At 49.9% G+C, this 18,120-nt stretch overlaps 1 protein-coding gene and 1 long non-coding RNA gene across 4 annotated transcripts, besides 4 other annotated features; both read left to right on the forward strand.

Annotated features, from left to right (window-relative positions):
* The first annotated feature begins 3,198 nt into the window (after positions 1-3,198).
* Positions 3,199-5,005, forward strand: LOC105378052 (uncharacterized). Its single transcript, NR_134598.1, has 2 exons — positions 3,199-3,465; positions 4,154-5,005. It is a non-coding gene; the product is annotated as an uncharacterized LOC105378052 (long non-coding RNA).
* Positions 6,656-7,346: an enhancer, noted in NCBI's record as "H3K27ac-H3K4me1 hESC enhancer chr6:150259106-150259796 (GRCh37/hg19 assembly coordinates)". NCBI's record gives its function as "activates a minimal SCP1, AML or CMV promoter by ChIP-STARR-seq in primed H9 embryonic stem cells {active_cell/tissue: H9 hESC(primed)}" and the evidence as "EXISTENCE:reporter gene assay evidence [ECO:0000049][PMID:30033119]".
* Positions 7,347-8,037: an enhancer, noted in NCBI's record as "H3K27ac-H3K4me1 hESC enhancer chr6:150259797-150260487 (GRCh37/hg19 assembly coordinates)". NCBI's record gives its function as "activates a minimal SCP1, AML or CMV promoter by ChIP-STARR-seq in naive H9 embryonic stem cells {active_cell/tissue: H9 hESC(naive)}" and the evidence as "EXISTENCE:reporter gene assay evidence [ECO:0000049][PMID:30033119]".
* Positions 7,526-7,825: an enhancer, noted in NCBI's record as "active region_25269". NCBI's record gives its function as "activates an Ori minimal core promoter by ATAC-STARR-seq in GM12878 lymphoblastoid cells {active_cell/tissue: GM12878}" and the evidence as "EXISTENCE:reporter gene assay evidence [ECO:0000049][PMID:35858748]".
* Positions 10,568-10,697: a silencer, noted in NCBI's record as "silent region_17672". NCBI's record gives its function as "represses an Ori minimal core promoter by ATAC-STARR-seq in GM12878 lymphoblastoid cells {active_cell/tissue: GM12878}" and the evidence as "EXISTENCE:reporter gene assay evidence [ECO:0000049][PMID:35858748]".
* ULBP2 (UL16 binding protein 2) lies at positions 10,700-17,921 on the forward strand. Of its 3 annotated transcripts, NM_025217.4 has the most exons (5): positions 10,700-10,843; positions 13,995-14,258; positions 15,058-15,339; positions 16,006-16,137; positions 17,409-17,921. In NM_025217.4, the coding sequence occupies exons 1-4, from the start codon at positions 10,759-10,761 to the stop codon at positions 16,113-16,115; spliced, it is 741 nt and encodes a 246-aa protein (NP_079493.1). In that variant the 5' UTR covers positions 10,700-10,758; the 3' UTR covers positions 16,116-16,137; positions 17,409-17,921. The 3 variants fall into 3 exon arrangements, with proteins under 3 accessions (NP_079493.1, XP_016866810.1, XP_047275333.1); XM_017011321.2 differs by lacking the exon at positions 16,006-16,137; XM_047419377.1 differs by lacking the exon at positions 17,409-17,921 and having other exon boundaries at positions 16,006-16,142.
* The last annotated feature ends 199 nt before the right edge of the window (positions 17,922-18,120 follow it).

The raw sequence follows: 18,120 nt of genomic DNA on the forward strand, positions 1-18,120 counted from the left end.
TTTGACCCAGCAATTCCACTGCTGGGGATATACTTAAAGGAGAATAATTTATTCAGTCCAATAGGCCCGTATGTTCATTGCAGTGCTATTCTCACTAGCAAGGACACAGAATCAATCTAAGTGCCCAGGAGCAGTGGACTGAATGAAGAAAACCTGGTACATATGGACCATGGAAATCCATGCAGCCATGAAACACAACAAAGTCAAGTTCTTTTCAGCAACATGGTTGGAATTGGAGGCCATTATCCTAGGTGACCTAACACAAGAACAGGCAACTGCACACCGCAGGTTCCCGTTTATAAGTGGGAGCTAAACATTAAATACACATGAATGTAAAGATGGGAACCACAGACACTGGAGATCACTAGACAGGGGAGTGGGGAGGGGCACGTGGGCTGAAGAACCACCCACTGGGTATGATGCTTACTGTCTGGGATTATTGGGACCCCAAGCCGCAGCCTCCCACAATTGACCCATGTAACAAACCTGCACGTGTACTCTTTATAATAAAAGTTGAAAATAAAAATGAATAAATATGATGGCGAGGATGTGGAGAAATAAGAGCTCTTCTACACTGTTGGTGGGAGTGTAAATTAGTTCAACCATTGTGGAAGACAGTGTGGTGATTCGTCAAGAATCTAGAACGAGTAATACCGTTTGACACAGCAATCCCATTACTGGGTGTATACCCAAAGGATCATAAATCATTCTACTATAAAAACACATACACAGGTATGTTTATTGCAGCACTATTTACAATAGCAAAGACTTGGAACCAACCTGAATGGCTATCAATAATAGACCAGATAAAGAAAACGTGGCACATATATACCAGGCAATAGTATGCAGCCATAAAAAAGAATGAATTCAGGCCGGGCGCGGTGGCTCACGCCTGTACTACCAGCACTTTGGGAGGCCAAGGCGGGCAGATCACGAGGTCAGGAGATCAAGACAATCCTGGATAACACGGCAAAACCCCGTCTCTACTAAAAATACAAAAAATAGACGGGTTTGGTGGCAGGCACCTATAGTCCCAGTTACTCGGGAGGCTGAGGCAGGAGAATGGCGTGAACCTAGGAGGCAGAACTTGCAGTGAGCCGAGATTGCGCCACTGCATTCCAGCCTGGGTGACAGAGTGGTGAGACTCCATCTCAAAAAAAAAAAAAAAAAAAAAAAAAAGAATGAGTTCATGTCCTTTGCAGGGACATGAATGAAGCTGGAAACCATCATTCTCAGCAAACTAACACAGGAACAGAAAACCGAATGTTCTCACTCATAAGCGGGAGTTGACCAATGAGAACACATGGACACAGGGAGGAGAACATCACACACCGGGGCCTGTCAGGGGGTTGGGGGCAAGGGGAGAGAGAGCATTAGGACAAATACCTAATGCATGTGGGGCTTAAAACCTAGGTGATGGATTGATAGGTGCAGTAAACCACCATGGCAGATGTATACCTATGTAACAAACCTGCGCATTCTGCACATGTATCCAATAACTTAAAGTAAAATTTAAAAATAAAAATGAATAAACAAATTGACACGAGGCAAAAAAAAGTGGGTTTAACTGACACAGGCAAGAGAGAACTCTGCACTATAAACTCTAACCCTGCCCTAGAAAAATAAACTCTAGTCATTTAAAATAATTATAAGGTGTATGATCATAATTTTATAAAAATTGAAGATGATTCTACTAAAACCCTAACATTAAACTGTGCATAATGGAATTTCAGATGATTTCCACCTTGTTCTTTATTCCTTTTTTGTTCCATTTTCAAGTGACCTTTTTTGTTTATCCTCAGGAACTCATTGCTCCCAGCTGTCCCCTTCTGTACCCACCCTCTCCTTTTCCAGGGTCCGCCCCAGCCCTTCCTCTGACCTGAAACTATGGCTTCCTTGGCACTGAAGGCACAGGAGCTGCATTCAGCCTCGGGAGAGAGTAGGACAAGGGCAGGTAGTGGAGGTGGTCTTGGCGCAAACGAATCTAACAGCGCCCAGTCTCCATTGCAGATGGCTGCATTTCTCCACATGTTATCTACAAGCAAACCAAACTTACCCCTTTCCTGATTGGTTTCTCACTCTGCCCAACTCCTACTTGAAAATTCATATTCTTCCACCTAACATTTCTTTCTACTTCTTGTCTTCACAATATATTCTGATTTATTGTGCCCAGGAAACACTGGTCTACACCACATCCTAAGTTACCATCTAAAGTGTAGTGAACAAATGGACAGGAAAGAGGCCGCTGCCCCACTCACTGCCTCTCATTTATTCACTCACAGGGTAAGTACAGCCTCAGAACCAACAGTGAGCTGTGCTGTGGATACTTCTCTGAGGAAAACAGACAAAATCCGTGCTCCAGTGGGGACAGCAGGTGAACGTAATGAGCAGGTGCATTGCATCAGGTGTAGGAAAGTGACAGATGATTCAGGTGGTGGGGAGCAAGGTAATGGAGAGGAAGAGTGGGAAGGGAGTCTCCAGGTCCTCAACAGGCTAAACAGGAAGGACTCCCAAAAAAGTAACATGTGTGTCCTGGCTTCATGCCTTCCTGCAGGAGGCAGAGCCCATGAAATGTACTGGAGTGGTCCAGGGAAAATCCAGAAGGTGCCTTTGTAACATTTTCAAGACAACCCTATAAAAAAAGAGTACCCAAGAATGTATTCGTTAAGTAGTCAGGAGCAAACAATAAATATTTATGACCTAGCAATTTTATTGCCATTTAAGAAAATATTTCACATAAATTGAAAAAGTAGTATGTTTATTTCTTTCTTAAATAAGCACAAATGTTTACTAATGGACATGTGTACCTACTGGGCACTGAACAACTTCTCAAACTTTGGAAGCAGATTGGACACAGCCACCCTGATTTCCTATTTCATACCTATTTTTGCAGGGATTCTTGGTTTTTTATCACAGCAACTGTTGAAATCACAGATTGTAAAACTACAATGTCATCTAAAGCAATGGTGCATAGTCTGATGTTGAAACTATAAAATACTTTGGATCAGTACTTCCTGCGGTGTCCAGCAGATGGCACCACTAATCTTTCAAATATTTCAATAAGCCCAGAGGGTTTGCTCACAGTGAGTTTGTGACATCATGGCGGATGAGACAATTGTGACATCATGGTGGATGAGACAATTGTGACATCATGGTGGATGAGAGATCAATAAAGAGTTTATTTCAGGGGATTGGGGCAGTTCCTCTCACCCTGCAGATCAAGATGCCCTGAGGGCAAAGAGCAGAGGGGTGCTCTCTGGTGGCCCAGCAGTTCTGCCCCAGGGGAGAGGTTTCTCTTTTACTACCGCGAAAACCCACAGGACGCTGCTTCATCCCAGAGCCAAGGATACCAGGAAGGAAGGTCAGAGTGAGGAGGTGTCTGAGTGTTTCAGATCACACAGTGACATACTGCTTGATGGCTTCAGAAATCCTTCATGAGCTGGGAGACAGCCCCAGAGGTGACAGGTGAGTGGGTGGGATGGGACAGACACAAGAACTCTCGAGATGACACCCACTTTCTCCCGTGTGTTTATGTATGTCTGTGTGTGCACGTGCGTGTGTGTGTGTGTCTGTATTTGTGCATGAACGTTTGTATGTTTGTATGTGTGTGTCTGTGTGCCTGTGTGTGTGCATATGTGTGTGTGCCTGTGTAGTGTGTGTGTGAGACTGTGCATGCGACTGTGTGTGTTTGTGTGAGACTATGCATGCATGTCTCTCTGTGTGTGTGAGACCACATGTGCATATCTCTATGTGTGTGTCTGTGTGTGTGTGGGAGTGTATGCTATATGTATATGTATGAATGGTGACTTGATTTCCTGTGAAGGGAGACAGGGACCCCAGGACAGGTTCCTGCCCACCCCTCCTTCCCTACCTTCCTTCCAGATATTCCCTCCTCCCTGTGGAAAGAGTCTACCCCAGTAACTAAGGGTTCATTACTGCAGACTTCTCATAGCTCCCCAAAGTTCTATGATATTTGCACCCCAGGCCTCCTCCTCATGCTTGTCCCTCTGCTGGGTGCCCTGTCTTCTCCTCCCACCTGGCCACACTGTATTCTTCCAGTTTCTACAAGAGCAGTCTGAAATGCCACCTCCCAAGAAACCTCCATGCAACTTCCCAAGCAGAATGAGTCACCCCCTCTTCTGCCCTTTCATAGCCCCAACCATCTCGAGGACAACACATCAGCAGCAGCAGCCACGTAGATGTTTGTTTCTGTACCTGGATTCTAAGTGCCTGAAGGACTGGACATATCTGGTTTCTAAGTTCCAGGAGGACTGGACACATCCATCACCCACGTGTAAACCCAGCACCTAGCACAGTGCCTGCCATACGATAGGGTTTAAGACGCATGGGAGGAATCTAATCATCAGACTACCAAAGGGCTGCTAGAACTCAGAAAGGGATCCCCATCATTTGGGGGATGGGATAAAGGTCTTCATTTCTGTTCTTTCCAGCACCAACCTCCATGGCTCCACTCATCCCTGCTCCTTCCTCCTATTAAGATTGGCTGGTCAGGAGAGGGGTAGGGGCAGGAGCAGCTATACCTGGTCTCCTCCACCATCCACGGTGGGGTGCACTCTTGGTGGGACCTGGTGAGCATGACAGCACCTGGGCCTAGGGGACCTGGAGCCTCCACAGACCCACAGAGAGCAAGAGGAGCTGTTCAGCCACTTGCAGAGACAGCCAGAGAGTGCTTCAAGGACTGCGTGGAGCTCTGGAGAAGCAGGGAATTCAGGGCCCTCTTTTGTGAGGCATGAGAAATTTAGGCAGGATCATGTCTACAAAAGAGGCTGTCACTTTGGCTTATCAATATTTTCACCTCGTTACCCCTTCCAGATCAGAATGGGTGCTTTATTTGTTTTTATGGATTATTGTGTCAACCAAAACGAGAGTTCAGAGTCACTCTAAAGATTTGAAACTCCTTCAAGATTTGATGAATGCGCATTTTGATGCCACATCTATTTTTAGAAAGCTGTGGCTGAATAAAGCATTTTATTGTATAGCATTACCCAAGTTACTTATATGGAATTTTAATCTACATAATGTCATACAACCATGTGAAAAGTAAAAACTAAAAAGCCGTAACTTTTTGGGTCAGAATTGGTGACTCATGCCTGTAATCCCAGAACTTTGGAAGGCCAATGTTGGAGGAACACTTGAGGCTAGGAGTTGGAGATCAGCCATGGCAAGTAACATGGTGAGACCCTGTCTCTACAGAAAATTTAAAAAATTGACCAGGTGTAGTAGGATGTGACTGTAGTCCCAGCTCCTCAGGAGGCTAAGGTAGGAGGATCACTTGAGCCTGGGTGACAGTGTGAGAGCCTGTCTCAAAGAAAACAACAACAATTGCAGCAGAAACAACAACAAAAAATATAAACCCAAGTAAACTAAATTGACAGAAGAATTGTGGGACCCAAATGACCAAATAATGTGATTTTTCACTTTTGATGAATTAAAGGGTATGCTGAGTGCCAGTATTCCCAGAATGTTCCATCTCATGAAATATGATTTCCTCTGGTGAACCCACTCCCTAGTCCAGGTCCTCCGAGAAGCAGGTTCCTACATGGGTTTCACATGAGGGGATTTCATTGGTGCAAACCCTGTGAGAACCGTTCAGTAGGAGGCAATTCTGACCCCAAGTGCAGGAGGGAGGGACAGGAGGTTGGGCAGGTGCCTCCTACACTACAGTGAATGGTGCTGGGACAACTGGATGCTGCATGCAGAAGAATGAGGCTGACCCCTTCCTTACAGCACACACAAAAACTAGTTCTAGATGAATGGCAGATGTTCACCTAAGACATGAAACTATGAAAGTCTCAGAAGAAAGCAGAGCAGTAAATTTTTGTGACCCCGGATTTGGCTAATGCTTCTTAAGTACTGTATGCCAGTAGCATAAATGACAAAATAAAAGGTAGTTTAATTTCATTTCATGCAAATGTAAAACTTTTGTGCTTCAAAAAGGACTCCATTTAGGTTAAAAAAATCCTTATAGAATGAGAGAAAGCATTTGAAAATCGTATATCTAGTAAGGGACTGGTATCCTGAATACATAAAGAACTCTTGCAACCCAACATTATAAAGCAAAATAACCCAATTTAAATATATGCAAAGAATTCAAAAAGATGTTTCTCCAAAGTGAGACAGGTATAATACAGTGTGGTCACAAAAGAAGAAAAAAACTTTAGGCAGCAGTTTCAGGTGACTAGCAAAAGGAATCTGTTGAAATATCTGCAGAGGCTCTGGGCTGATAAGACCCTAAAAGACAGGGTATGGACCAGGCTGGCTAAGAATGAGTGGACCCAACATGGCCCTGGGTTTGGCCTCGGTTTCACCTAGGACCCTATTATACACTAATTGACATACTAAACGCACACACACCAGCGTCTTGGCAATTCAGAGAACACCAATATTTGGTGTAAAAATGGGTGGCACCACAGTTCTGAGCAGTCTCCACCTTCTTTTAGGAATTTTCATGAATATTCCACCCCTTGTTAAAGAAACCCAGAAAGGTGGCAGCCCTAAACCCCCTTGCACCTGCCTCTCTCTTGAGTTCCCCTGCATTCCCTTTACATGAGTGTGTACTTTCCCTTTTACAAAAAAATCTCCGTCCTTTCTCTATTTTCCTACTGGTCCTAGAATTCATTTCCCCAGGCGGTGTCAAGAGCCCGACACCGGCTGGGGTCGAGGTCTCATCAGAGTTTGGGGACCACCGGTTGCCCACTGGCATCGGAAGAAGAATGCAAATGGCAGTGAGCCCAGGAAAAGGTGCTCAGTGTCCACAGACCTCAGGGAAATGCCAACAGCACCCACAAGGGGACGCCTCACCCCGCTGGAATGGGTGACCCCAAACACTGTGAGGCTGGAGGGGGTGGGGCCTGCGTTCCTTACAAGGCAGAGAGCAGGAGACTGAGAGTTGGTGGAGTGTAGGGCTGTTCCTGTGTCATCCTCTTCCCATTTTCCTGGCGGAGGTTTCTCTTTGTTCTCTGGCCCTACCTGCTTCCTTCCTCTCCCTTTCTCTGGTTCTCCCTCCCGTCCTTCATTTCCAACCATCCCAAGGTTTTCTCTGCCTCAAGACGTCCATGCTCGGGGCCCCCAGCCCAGTGGAGAAACCAGGAGCCCTGGACCGCGAGCGGCGGGGTCGGGGAGGCGACAACGGGAAGCCCCTGTTGGATCCTGGGCACTCAGGACCTAGTGCGCCATGGGCGCCCTCCCGCAGCAGCCCCAGGGCAAGGAGGATGGGGGTCCTCGTGGGGGCCACACTGTCGGATCCCCAGGGATCCGAGCGGGACTGTGACGTCTCCACACTGAGCCGGTGGCAAAGTCGCCGCGAGGATGAAGGAGGAACCTCGTGCTCTTCACCCCACCAGGCCCCGCATTTCCTGTCTCCTGCCACGGTTCCTTGTCGCGACCGGCGAGTCCTCCCAGGTCTTCGAAAGGCCGTTTTGTCCGGAGGCTGTGGACCCGGAGGCCCGGGAGCATCGGCGGGCAGCGTGGCACCCACTCGGCGGTCTCAACCGGGCAGGACCCGGGTCCGGAGCTCGGGCGAAGCGGGCGTCCTGGGAGGAGCGCGCAGAACCCGGAGAGGACGCAGCAGGGTGAAAACTGAAACCGCATATGCGAACTGTCTCCGAAAGTCATCTGCGGTTGAAATCAGAAATCACCTATAATATCCCCTTTGTGACAACACCGTTGGGTAAATATCTAGAACCGGTGCCTCGTCACTGCAGCAGCCCCGCACGCAGCTGCCCGGGTTCCCCTCCCCGGACCCTAGTGGCCCCCAACAGATCAGGCGGGCCCACCGTGTGACCGTCCCTGGGACTCTCGGCCCCACTCTTACTTACTACTTCACCTCCACATTTTCACCTGTTTCAGAATCAAAACCCTGAAAAGTCATGTGTGAAAGGCTCCCCCGCCCCTGCCTGCGTCCACTCTCATTGGCCACACGCCAGGGAGGAAAGTTTATTTGATTCTTCTCATCTTTCCAGGGAGTCTTTATGCCGTTTCAAACGAATATAAATACATATTCTCAATTCAGACGCGGATATTTTTGACCCTTGATGAACCCTGTCACCCTGTCCTTCAGGAAGCCTGTACCAGTTTCCCCTCCCTCTACGGTGGATGTTTCACCATCCTCTGCCCAAGCTGGGTCATCACAATCACAGACAAGAGTGTCGCCAGCATTGCCATCCTATGACATGAGATGCTTTAAAGGTGCATTACTTCGCACAGCAATTCTGTGTCTGGAAATCTATTCTACACAATGAAATTGTGATTCATGCAAGCACAGTTTCTGCAGCATTTCGCTTCTCTAAAAGTCACTGGAGACCGTCTGGATCTTCAGACACAGACACTGGTTACTTTTGTTGTGATGCAGTCATTCTATGTAATGTGCAGAGATAAAAAGGAAAAAATCTGTATGTGCAGGTATTGCAAGATCTTCAAAGTGTGTTATTTTGAGATAGAATCTGTGTTCAGCAGAGTGCCTATGGGTTTATATTTGTTTTAAAAACCAGAATTGATACATAAACACGTATCTACTGTTAGTAAGGAAAACAGTATTTCCATAACTTATTGCCAGTCTCTTTATCCATTTTAGGAAAAATCGATATACTTGAAAAGCCACGGTGGCAGGAATTGGTCATCACCCACCAGGATTCTACACTGCCCTACAGGTGATCCCAACTGAGGTTGCCAGAGGAACAGGATGTGGAATGCAGTCGCGTTTCAGAGAGGAACCTAAAGTCAGAATGGACCAGGGGTCTTGCCCTGACCTCTGCCTCTTCACCCAACCCCCACCTGGTCAGGCAGTGACCCTGGAGGGGCTGGGATGATCCTGGGAGAGCAGTGAAATGGGGAGCCAATGGTGGGAGCATGGTGAACATGGAGAGCCCAGACCCCACACCATCTGGGGAGGAGCTCATGTGATGCTGGGAGCACTGGGAAGACAGGGAGCCTGGACACAGCACTCACTGCTCCTCCCATCTGGGACAGGATTGGGGTGGGTGATGAGAAAAGTTTCCTGAGTAACACAGTTCCCAATCCTGGCAGAATAACTCACCCCAGTTGCACTCACAGCCAAGACCCACTCAGCCCCTGGACCAGTCTAACACAGGGCTTGGTAAATCCAGGAGTGAATACTACTGAGGCATCTGCCAGGGCATAGGAAACAGTAACAAGAGGACGGCTCAGCTAGTGGCTCAGACTATCTTGCCCCACACTCTCCAATATTGAGTAGGGAGTAAGCCTTGAGCCCAGGAGGTTGAGGATTCAGTGAATTATGATCGTGCCACTGCACTCCAGACTGGTGACAGAGTAAGAGTCTGTCACACATGCTTACACACACAAATTAAATTGTGTGAGCAGTTGTCACACAGGGAGATCTGGATGCACTCACTGTGGACCCAGGTCTCAGCGAGCAGGAGGGTGTTCTGTATTGTGGGAACATGAGGGACACGCATGGGACCGGGCATTTGTGCCTAGCTTTGAAGGGTGGCTGGCCCTTTGCCCAGGGCGAAGAGGCCAGCAGAATGCACTAACAGTGGGGAACCACCAGGAACTTTCACTTGAACCTGCTCTGCTGAGCCCCCTGTGCCATCCGTGGACCTGGGCGAGGGAGGCTGCTGAACTGGGAGCTCAGGGCCCATCTCTCTGAGGAGCTTTCTAAATCAGCAAGTGTGTCACAGGTTGAGATTTTAGGAACGGGGTCCTCCATGTTGTCCTCGATTTTAATAAGTAGACTCTTTTGGCCAATCTGCATTGGGCAGAGCAGGAACAAGACATAATTTTTTAATATATATTTTTAAAGCTGTTTAATTTTGGTAAAAACATAGAAGATAAAATTTACCATCTTGACCAGTTGTTTAGTGCACAATATGTTGTTTTAAACCTCTGGAACCCTGCCTGCTGCTCCTGTAATAAAACCTAGCCCGGGCCAGGCGCGGTGGCTAACGCCTGTAATCCCAGCACTTTGGGAGGCCGAGACGGGTGGATCACCTAAGGTCATGAGTTTGAGACCAGCCTGGCCAACAAGATGAAACCCCATCTCTACCAAAAATACAAACAATTCGCCGGGCGTGGTGGAGGGCGTCTGTAATCCCAGCTACTCCGGAAGCTGAGGCCAGAGAATCCCTTGAACCCGGGAAGCGGCGATTGCGGTGAGCCGAGATCACGCCACTGCACTCCAGCCTGGGCAACAAGAGCGAAACTCCGTCTCTAAATAAATAAATAAATAAATAAATAAATAATAAAACCTAGCCCGGACTGTAATCACGTCCACTGGGAACTGGCGCAGTAGTGGAGGGGACGCGATCAGGCCCGTGGCTGCGCCCAGAGCATGATAAGCCAGGGACCTCGCGGCGCAGGCGGAGGGAGGGAGAGCGTCGCGGACCCAGGCGGGGACAGGGAGACGCCGCCGCCGCTGAATATTCCTCTGCAAGTTTCTTCACCTTCAATAAAAAAATGTTGTGATGATTAAATGAGTCTGTCGTGGAAGGAACCGTGTCTTGGCAGGAGCCGGGCGGACACCCAGACACCAACCCGAAGGGGGTTGGGACAAAGGGGAGGGACGCCCGGGAAGGGGAGGGACACCGTCAGGGCAGCCAATCATATTTCTAGCCGCGTGACGCTATGACCCGCTTGACGCTATGACAGCGGGAAACGGGGGGCGCGCCCGTACATAGGGAGGCTTTAAAACCTTGAGGTGATTCATCTTCCAGGCTCTCCTTCCATCAAGTCTCTCATCCCTAGCGCTCTGGGTCCTTAATGGCAGCAGCCGCCGCTACCAAGATCCTTCTGTGCCTCCCGCTTCTGCTCCTGCTGTCCGGCTGGTCCCGGGCTGGGCGAGCCGGTGAGTTCGTGGATGGAGCCTAAGCCGGGCGGGGACCAAGCCTGGAGGGCTGTGAACTGCCGCGGGTTTCAGAGGAGGGGAGGCTTCTAGAAGGACGGGGGAGATCTCCCCTAACTGCGCCCCCGTTCAGTTCCGGTCGGCGGCTCCTTCCTGCTGGGTGCAGTCCCCGAGGCTGCTTCTTGCCCGGGAAGAGGCGAAAAGGAGCGGGGTGGAAAGGAGGCTGGCAGGAGGGTGGAGGGGCCGGAGGGCTGCAGAGAGCGAGGTGGGGCGGGGATCCCTGGTGCAGCCTGGCAGTCCCACCCGCCCTCGGGAAGGAAAAACCAGAGCCCCCGGAACCGGAGCTGGGGACAGGACAGGGGTGAAGCGGGATTCCACAGGGACGCGATCACAGACACCCCCACCAGCCACAGGCCTGCTCTGCTCTCACCCGCTCTCCACCACACAAACCCTCCAGCGCCCCCAGGGCTGCGTGCCCTTGAATTTTTCCCTGCACTTTCCTGTAGACACTCACCTGCACCCAGGGGCTCAGCAGACAACCGCCACCCCTCCCCTCACCATCCACTGCCACCACCCAGGTCACGTCCTCTTACTGCCCACCTCAGCCCAGCTGGTCACCCCAGAGGTCTCCCCATCCATGAAGGGGACCTCACCACCTCCTACACCACGTCGCACCTTCTGCCTCTTGCCTGAGGACACACCCCAGCAAACACACCCCAAGCTCCCCTCAGAACCTGTGCAGGGGGGATGGGAAGCACCATTTCCTCCAGGATGACCCTGGGAACTCTGGTGAGTAGAGGCACCCACTTCTGCCCTTGGGGCCCAGACCGCCTGTTCTTCCTACGGGGGTGTCAGCGTCATAGAGAATAGTCACTGTGTAGACAGGGGTCAGCAAACTCTTTCTAGAAAGGGAGGAAGGATGCCCTGTGATCTTTGCAGGCCGTGGGTTCTCCGTCTCAGTGTCCAGTCCTGTCCCTTTGTAGAGCAACAGCAGGCAATGGCAACCTTCAAATAGGGGGGACCAGATTTGGACCCTGTCCTAGGTTGCTGATCCCAGATCAGGGGATTACAATGTCCCAGTGAATAGTGCCCCATCCCCTATGGTGTCATCTCCAAGTGATGTCTCTGATGTCAGTTGGAGAGTAGAAGGTGGTCCTACCTTGTCTGTGGCTTCTGGGTGGTGTGGATGTGATGGGAGTGGGGGTCCCATAGTTGGGGGCTTATTCTCCCCTCCTTTGTGCTGAGTGGCATCCACGGGGACCATCAGGTACCCTCCCTGAAGCCTCAGGTGTGAGCTGAGGGTGAGGGGGTGCAGCCACGTGGTGTCCTGGGGATCGGGTCCAACTGCTTGTGCAGCTTCTTGGTTCCCGGTGGCCCTGCTCCTGCCCATCCCAGAAGAACCACCTGCGTCTTCTCACTGCTGGGCCTAACTTCCTAATGACCTAGAGGGTGAGGAGCCCACCAGTAATGGGCAGCTCTGAGGCCTTCAGCAATAGGCATCCCTAAGCTTCATTCCATTCTGGTGCCTTGTCATGGGCCTTCTTTATATGCATGGCAAAAGGCCCCATCTCTGCCAAGGTGCAGTACTCTACAGGAGCCACTGCTTAATGTTGCGATTTCCTTGCTGTGAGTGGCATTGCCTTGTCTCTGAATATTCACATGGAATCTCTGTTGTGATTCTCCAATTAGACATTGTGACCACATGTACCTCTAGGGTCTTAGGGGGTCTTGGGTCATTGGGCACTTAAGGTAGGTCCAGCCTCGCTCATCATGCATGGATTGTCTATGGCTGCTTTTGAACTTCAACAGCAGAGTTGAGTAGTTACAATGGAGAATATATTCCCTGCACACCTTTACATGTTTACAAAATTGCCCTTCACAGCAAACTCTACTGGCCATAAATATCTTTGGAGAAGGCCACAAGGACTCACTGTCCTGGCTGCAGGGTTAAAGGGTCCTTCCTCACTAGAAACTGGTGTCTTCTTCTAGTCATGGGTTCAGGGTCTGAGAAGTGGCTTCATTCTGCAAATTAGGCAAAGCAGCCTCGTTCTTGATGGACTGGCTACTTTCAGCCTCCTGATTTGGTTTATCTCTGTTTCTTGTAATTATTTAAATCCAGCAGTATCTGGGGTGGGTTTGCATCTCTTTTGGACCTTGGACCCCTTTGTTCTATGAGCCATGGGCATAACTTTGTATAACTGAGGTCCCCAGCTGGCATTGTGACTTCTCTAATCATTTCCATCATTGCACCCTCCTTGCTCCTGACAGTTGACAGCCTCCACCTGGAATTTGGAATTTCAGAATTGTTCATCCCATTACTCTGGGAGCAGATTTCAGGAACAGCATCTCCTACCCCCAACCCTGGCCTTCAGCAATAGGCATCCCTAAGCTTCATTCCATTCTGGTGCCTTCTCATGGGGCCTTCTTTATATGCTGGGTAAACAGGAGTCCTCCAGGTTTCCCATAAGCACAGTGGATGGACATTGTTCTGGATTTTCACACTTAGACCCCTCTGGCATGGGCACTTCTCTGAGCCTGTGATCTCTCCCTCCACTACCTGCCTTAGACTTTCAGATTTTCCATTTCTTGCTGTGTGGACCATCTCTTTGTCCAAGGTTTCAGGAAGGCCTCCTCATAGCAGATGCATGCCATCACCAGGGGCTTTGCCAACATGTTAAATCCTGTGGCCATGATAATTAACTCTTCTTTATCCAACGGGGTTCCATCCTCACTCTGTTCAACCAGCACCAGCATCCACAGGGGTGGACCCACACCCTCTCCCACCTCCCGCAGTCCACGTGGGCTACTGCTGAAGATCCTCTGCCATCCAGGCCCTTCCTCCTCTCTTGCTAGAGAGGCCTGGCACCTTTCTAGCAAGGTCACGTGTTGACTGATGTGGGCAGAGGGGCAGTGGGACATGTCTGGGGACATGTGGTTTCTCAGCAGACAGAGACTTCCTCCTCCTCCTCCTCCTTGTCCTCATGCAAGGGGCGAGCACTCGCCTTAAACTTGTAGACACCACAGTTCTGGAGGGGGCACTCCTTCCTGGGCCAGCCCAGCCTGCCAGAGGCATCCTCTTATTGACACAGCGTGGAGGGGGGCTAACTAGGGGTCTTTTCCTCCCCACCCACCCCTCACCTGCCTTTCTCCACAGACCCTCACTCTCTTTGCTATGACATCACCGTCATCCCTAAGTTCAGACCTGGACCACGGTGGTGTGCGGTTCAAGGCCAGGTGGATGAAAAGACTTTTCTTCACTATGACTGTGGCAACAAGACAGTCACACCTGTCAGTCCCCTGGGGAAGAAACTAAATGTCACAACGGCCTGGAAAGCACAGAACCCAGTACTGAGAGAGGTGGTGGACATACTTACAGAGCAACTGCGTGACATTCAGCTGGAGAATTACACACCCAAGGGTAAGTTTCAGATGGCCCAGGACAGCAGGGAACAGATACAGTGGTAGGTTAGAGGCATTTATAGTTTTCATGTAAAAATACAAAAGGGTCCTGGGCACGGTGGCTCACGCCTGTAGTCCCAGCACTTTGTGAGGTAGAGGTGGGCCGATCACAAGGTCAGGAATTCGAGACCAGCCTGACCAACATGGTGAAACACTGTCTCTACCAAAAATGCAAAAATTAGCCAGGCATGGTGGCGCATGCCTGTAATCCCAGCAACTTGGGAGGCTGAGGCAGGAGGATCCCTTGAACCCGGCAGGCAGACGCTGCAGTGAGCCGAGGTGGTGCCACTGCACTCCAGCCTGGGCAACAGAGTGAGACTTTGTCTCAAAAAAAAAAAAAAAAAAAAAGCCAGGTGCAGTGGCTCAAGCCTGTAATCCCAGCATTTTGGGAGGCTGAGGCAGGCGGATCACGAGGTTAAGAGATCGAGACCATCCTGGTTAACACAGTGAAACCCTGTCTGTACTAAAAATACAAAAAATTAGCCGGGTATGGTGGCGGGCGCCTGTAGTCCCAGCTACTTAGGAGGCTGAGTGAGCCGAGATCGCGCCACTGCACTCCATCCAGCCTGGGTGACAGAGCGAGACCCTTTCTCAAAAAAAAAAAAAAAATACAAATGGGAAGGTCATCATACCCCTCAAGAGTCTAGAGGCAAGGCCAAGATGTAGCAGAGAGAGTAAGGCCAGCAAATTGTAAGGGGAACAGGATGGGGGTGCAAAATTTGTCAAGATCAGAGCTGATCTCTCTCTGATGGGGGCAGAACCCCTCACCCTGCAGGCAAGGATGTCTTGTGAGCAGAAAGCTGAAGGACACAGCAGTGGATCTTGGCAGTTCAGTTTCGATGGGCAGATCTTCCTCCTCTTTGACTCAGAGAAGAGAATGTGGACAACGGTTCATCCTGGAGCCAGAAAGATGAAAGAAAAGTGGGAGAATGACAAGGTTGTGGCCATGTCCTTCCATTACTTCTCAATGGGAGACTGTATAGGATGGCTTGAGGACTTCTTGATGGGCATGGACAGCACCCTGGAGCCAAGTGCAGGAGGTAACAGGAGAAAAAGAAACGGGGATCTCAAATGTGATCAGAAATGGTGACCTCAAGAAGTTAGTTCTTGAGTTCAGCTTCAATCATCCCAGTATACACATTCACGTTAAAATGACCTCCTCGTGGGGCGCTCCTCCTGGGGTTACTGGCATGCCTGTGCTCTCCCACCGTCCTCTTCCTTCTCCCTCCTGACTCCTATTCCTCACTGCACTTGCTCCTGCTCCCCGCCCTGTGGATTTCTCACCAGCCTTGAAACTGCAGGTGTCACTGTTTTCAGACCTTTTTCCTTAGTGTTTCCTCTTTTGAGAATCACTTTTCCTTTCCTTTCCCTGGTCTGGTTCTGGAAATCCATCAAAACCACTTCCAACGCCAGCCCAGAGATCCTCCCCTCCCCAACTCTGGGGCATCACCTCCTCTTCCCCCACAGCAGGAGGGTGGGGTGTGTTGTCACCTTGCTTCCCTCAGCAGCTGTGTGAGCTCCCTGAGGACAAGACTCACCCCGTCTCCCTTCCTAAGCCAGGACCTGTCATACTGGCTGCCCCACACCAGGGGGGAGAGGACAAAACTTTTGCCTTCCAGGATGACCTAGGGTGGCAGGAACTGAGGAGGTGTCTCCTCAGATTTGGGGCCTGGACAAGGGTTGTCACTTTTGTGTTTCCATTTCAGCACCACTCGCCATGTCCTCAGGCACAACCCAACTCAGGGCCACAGCCACCACCCTCATCCTTTGCTGCCTCCTCATCATCCTCCCCTGCTTCATCCTCCCTGGCATCTGAGGAGAGTCCTTTAGAGTGACAGGTACTGTGGGCAGAATTGGAAGTGGAGCAAGGAGCAGGTGGGTGAGGAGGCAGGATGGGGAAAGAGAATTCCCGGAGTCCCGCCCCTCCCCGTGGCTGGGACCTTCTCATCCTAACATGAGACAGGTGAATGAGACCTTGTGTTGCCTGTTGGCAATGTTGGCAATGACCTGGGCAGCTCAGCCCTGAGTTCTGATGGATTCTCACCTTCAGAGTCCAGAGGGAAAGGGAGGGGCCCATACCAAGGCTCAGGGTCTGTTGAGCTTGAGAAGGTTTAGCAAGTTCAGGCCTGATTCAGAGCAGGTTCCTATTCAGGAAGGGTGTGTGGCCTGCAGGCAGCAGGAATTCAGACATGGGCAGTCCTCTTAATTGGGTTAGGTGCATCATGGTAGCTTTACATGAGGTGTGACAGGGGAAGGGGGATTCCATCTCTGAGGCTAAGAGAGATCTGGGTGTAATCCCAGGAGGAGGGGGCTGGGAGAACCTTGGTACACCTAATTGAAAAGGAGGGAGTGCAGGGCTGCCTTCCCACAGAAAGTGGCTTGGGTTCCAGGAATTAAGGTGGAAGGTGAAGAGTAGAGGCTGCTCAAGAGAAGGATTTTTAAAAAGTCAGTCCCATGGACATGTGCAGCTCGAGTCTGGGCCCTGAGGCAGCTCCCCTGCCATCATCCTCCTGCACACCCCAGATCCTGAGCCCACTGATGGCCCTGCCTGGAGCAGAGTGGACTCAGAGGAAGGGGGGTCTGAGCTGCTGCTGGGGTTCCACAGGCACCACTGGGCTGGACAAGGAATTGATAAGGTGGAACAGGGACAGTCACCTTCAGAGCAATGGGTGCTGCTCCCAGTGTGAGGAGAGGCTCAAGAAGAAGGGGAAAGAAGGATGTTTGCCTGCAGGCCCACCAAAGGCCAAGGGCACAGGAATATGGAGCCCTCTTTTTGGAAGTCTGCCCCACCCCTTGCCTGTTTTAGGCCTTCACATCAGATCATAGAGAGGGCCTTGAGTGAGGGCGCGGACCCATCACTACCAGCTTCAGACCTGCAGGCCCCTCCACTCCATCCCCTGGTCAGGTGCAGGGCCTGGGCTGACTCTGTGATGTGACAGAGGAGGAAAGAGGTAGGTCCAAGCTGCAGTCGCCAGGGTTGAGGCTCAAGGGAAAAATAGGTCCCTTAGTGCAGGGGGCTCTGAGACATAGAGTGACTAGGGAAAGATTACCCTGGAAAAGTGATCCGGGTTCTCTGCCCCTTAAACCAACATTTGTGTCCTTTCTGAAGGTTAAAGCTGATACCAAAAGGCTCCTGTGAGCACGGTCTTGATCAAACTCGCCCTTCTGTCTGGCCAGCTGCCCACGACCTACGGTGTATGTCCAGTGGCCTCCAGCAGATCATGATGACATCATGGACCCAATAGCTCATTCACTGCCTTGATTCCTTTTGCCAACAATTTTACCAGCAGTTATACCTAACATATTATGCAATTTTCTCTTGGTGCTACCTGATGGAATTCCTGCACTTAAAGTTCTGGCTGACTAAACAAGATATATCATTTTCTTTCTTCTCTTTTTGTTTGGAAAATCAAGTACTTCTTTGAATGATGATCTCTTTCTTGCAAATGATATTGTCAGTAAAATAATCACGTTAGACTTCAGACCTCTGGGGATTCTTTCCGTGTCCTGAAAGAGAATTTTTAAATTATTTAATAAGAAAAAATTTATATTAATGATTGTTTCCTTTAGTAATTTATTGTTCTGTACTGATATTTAAATAAAGAGTTCTATTTCCCAAAAACCTACGGTGTTTAGAATTTTGTTGTATTACTCAGTAGGGAATTAATGTTATTTCATTTTTCCTCCATGATATGGAGTAATAAATGAGTGATTCTACCAGATTTTGTGTGGAAAAAGAGAATCTACAAAACATGGCTGAGAAAAATCAGAGACAACACAAATACATAGAAAAATATTTCATGCTCATGGGTTGGAGAATC

Source organism: Homo sapiens, chromosome 6 (genome assembly GCF_000001405.40).
Source record: "Homo sapiens chromosome 6, GRCh38.p14 Primary Assembly".
Lineage (NCBI taxonomy): Eukaryota > Metazoa > Chordata > Mammalia > Primates > Hominidae > Homo > Homo sapiens.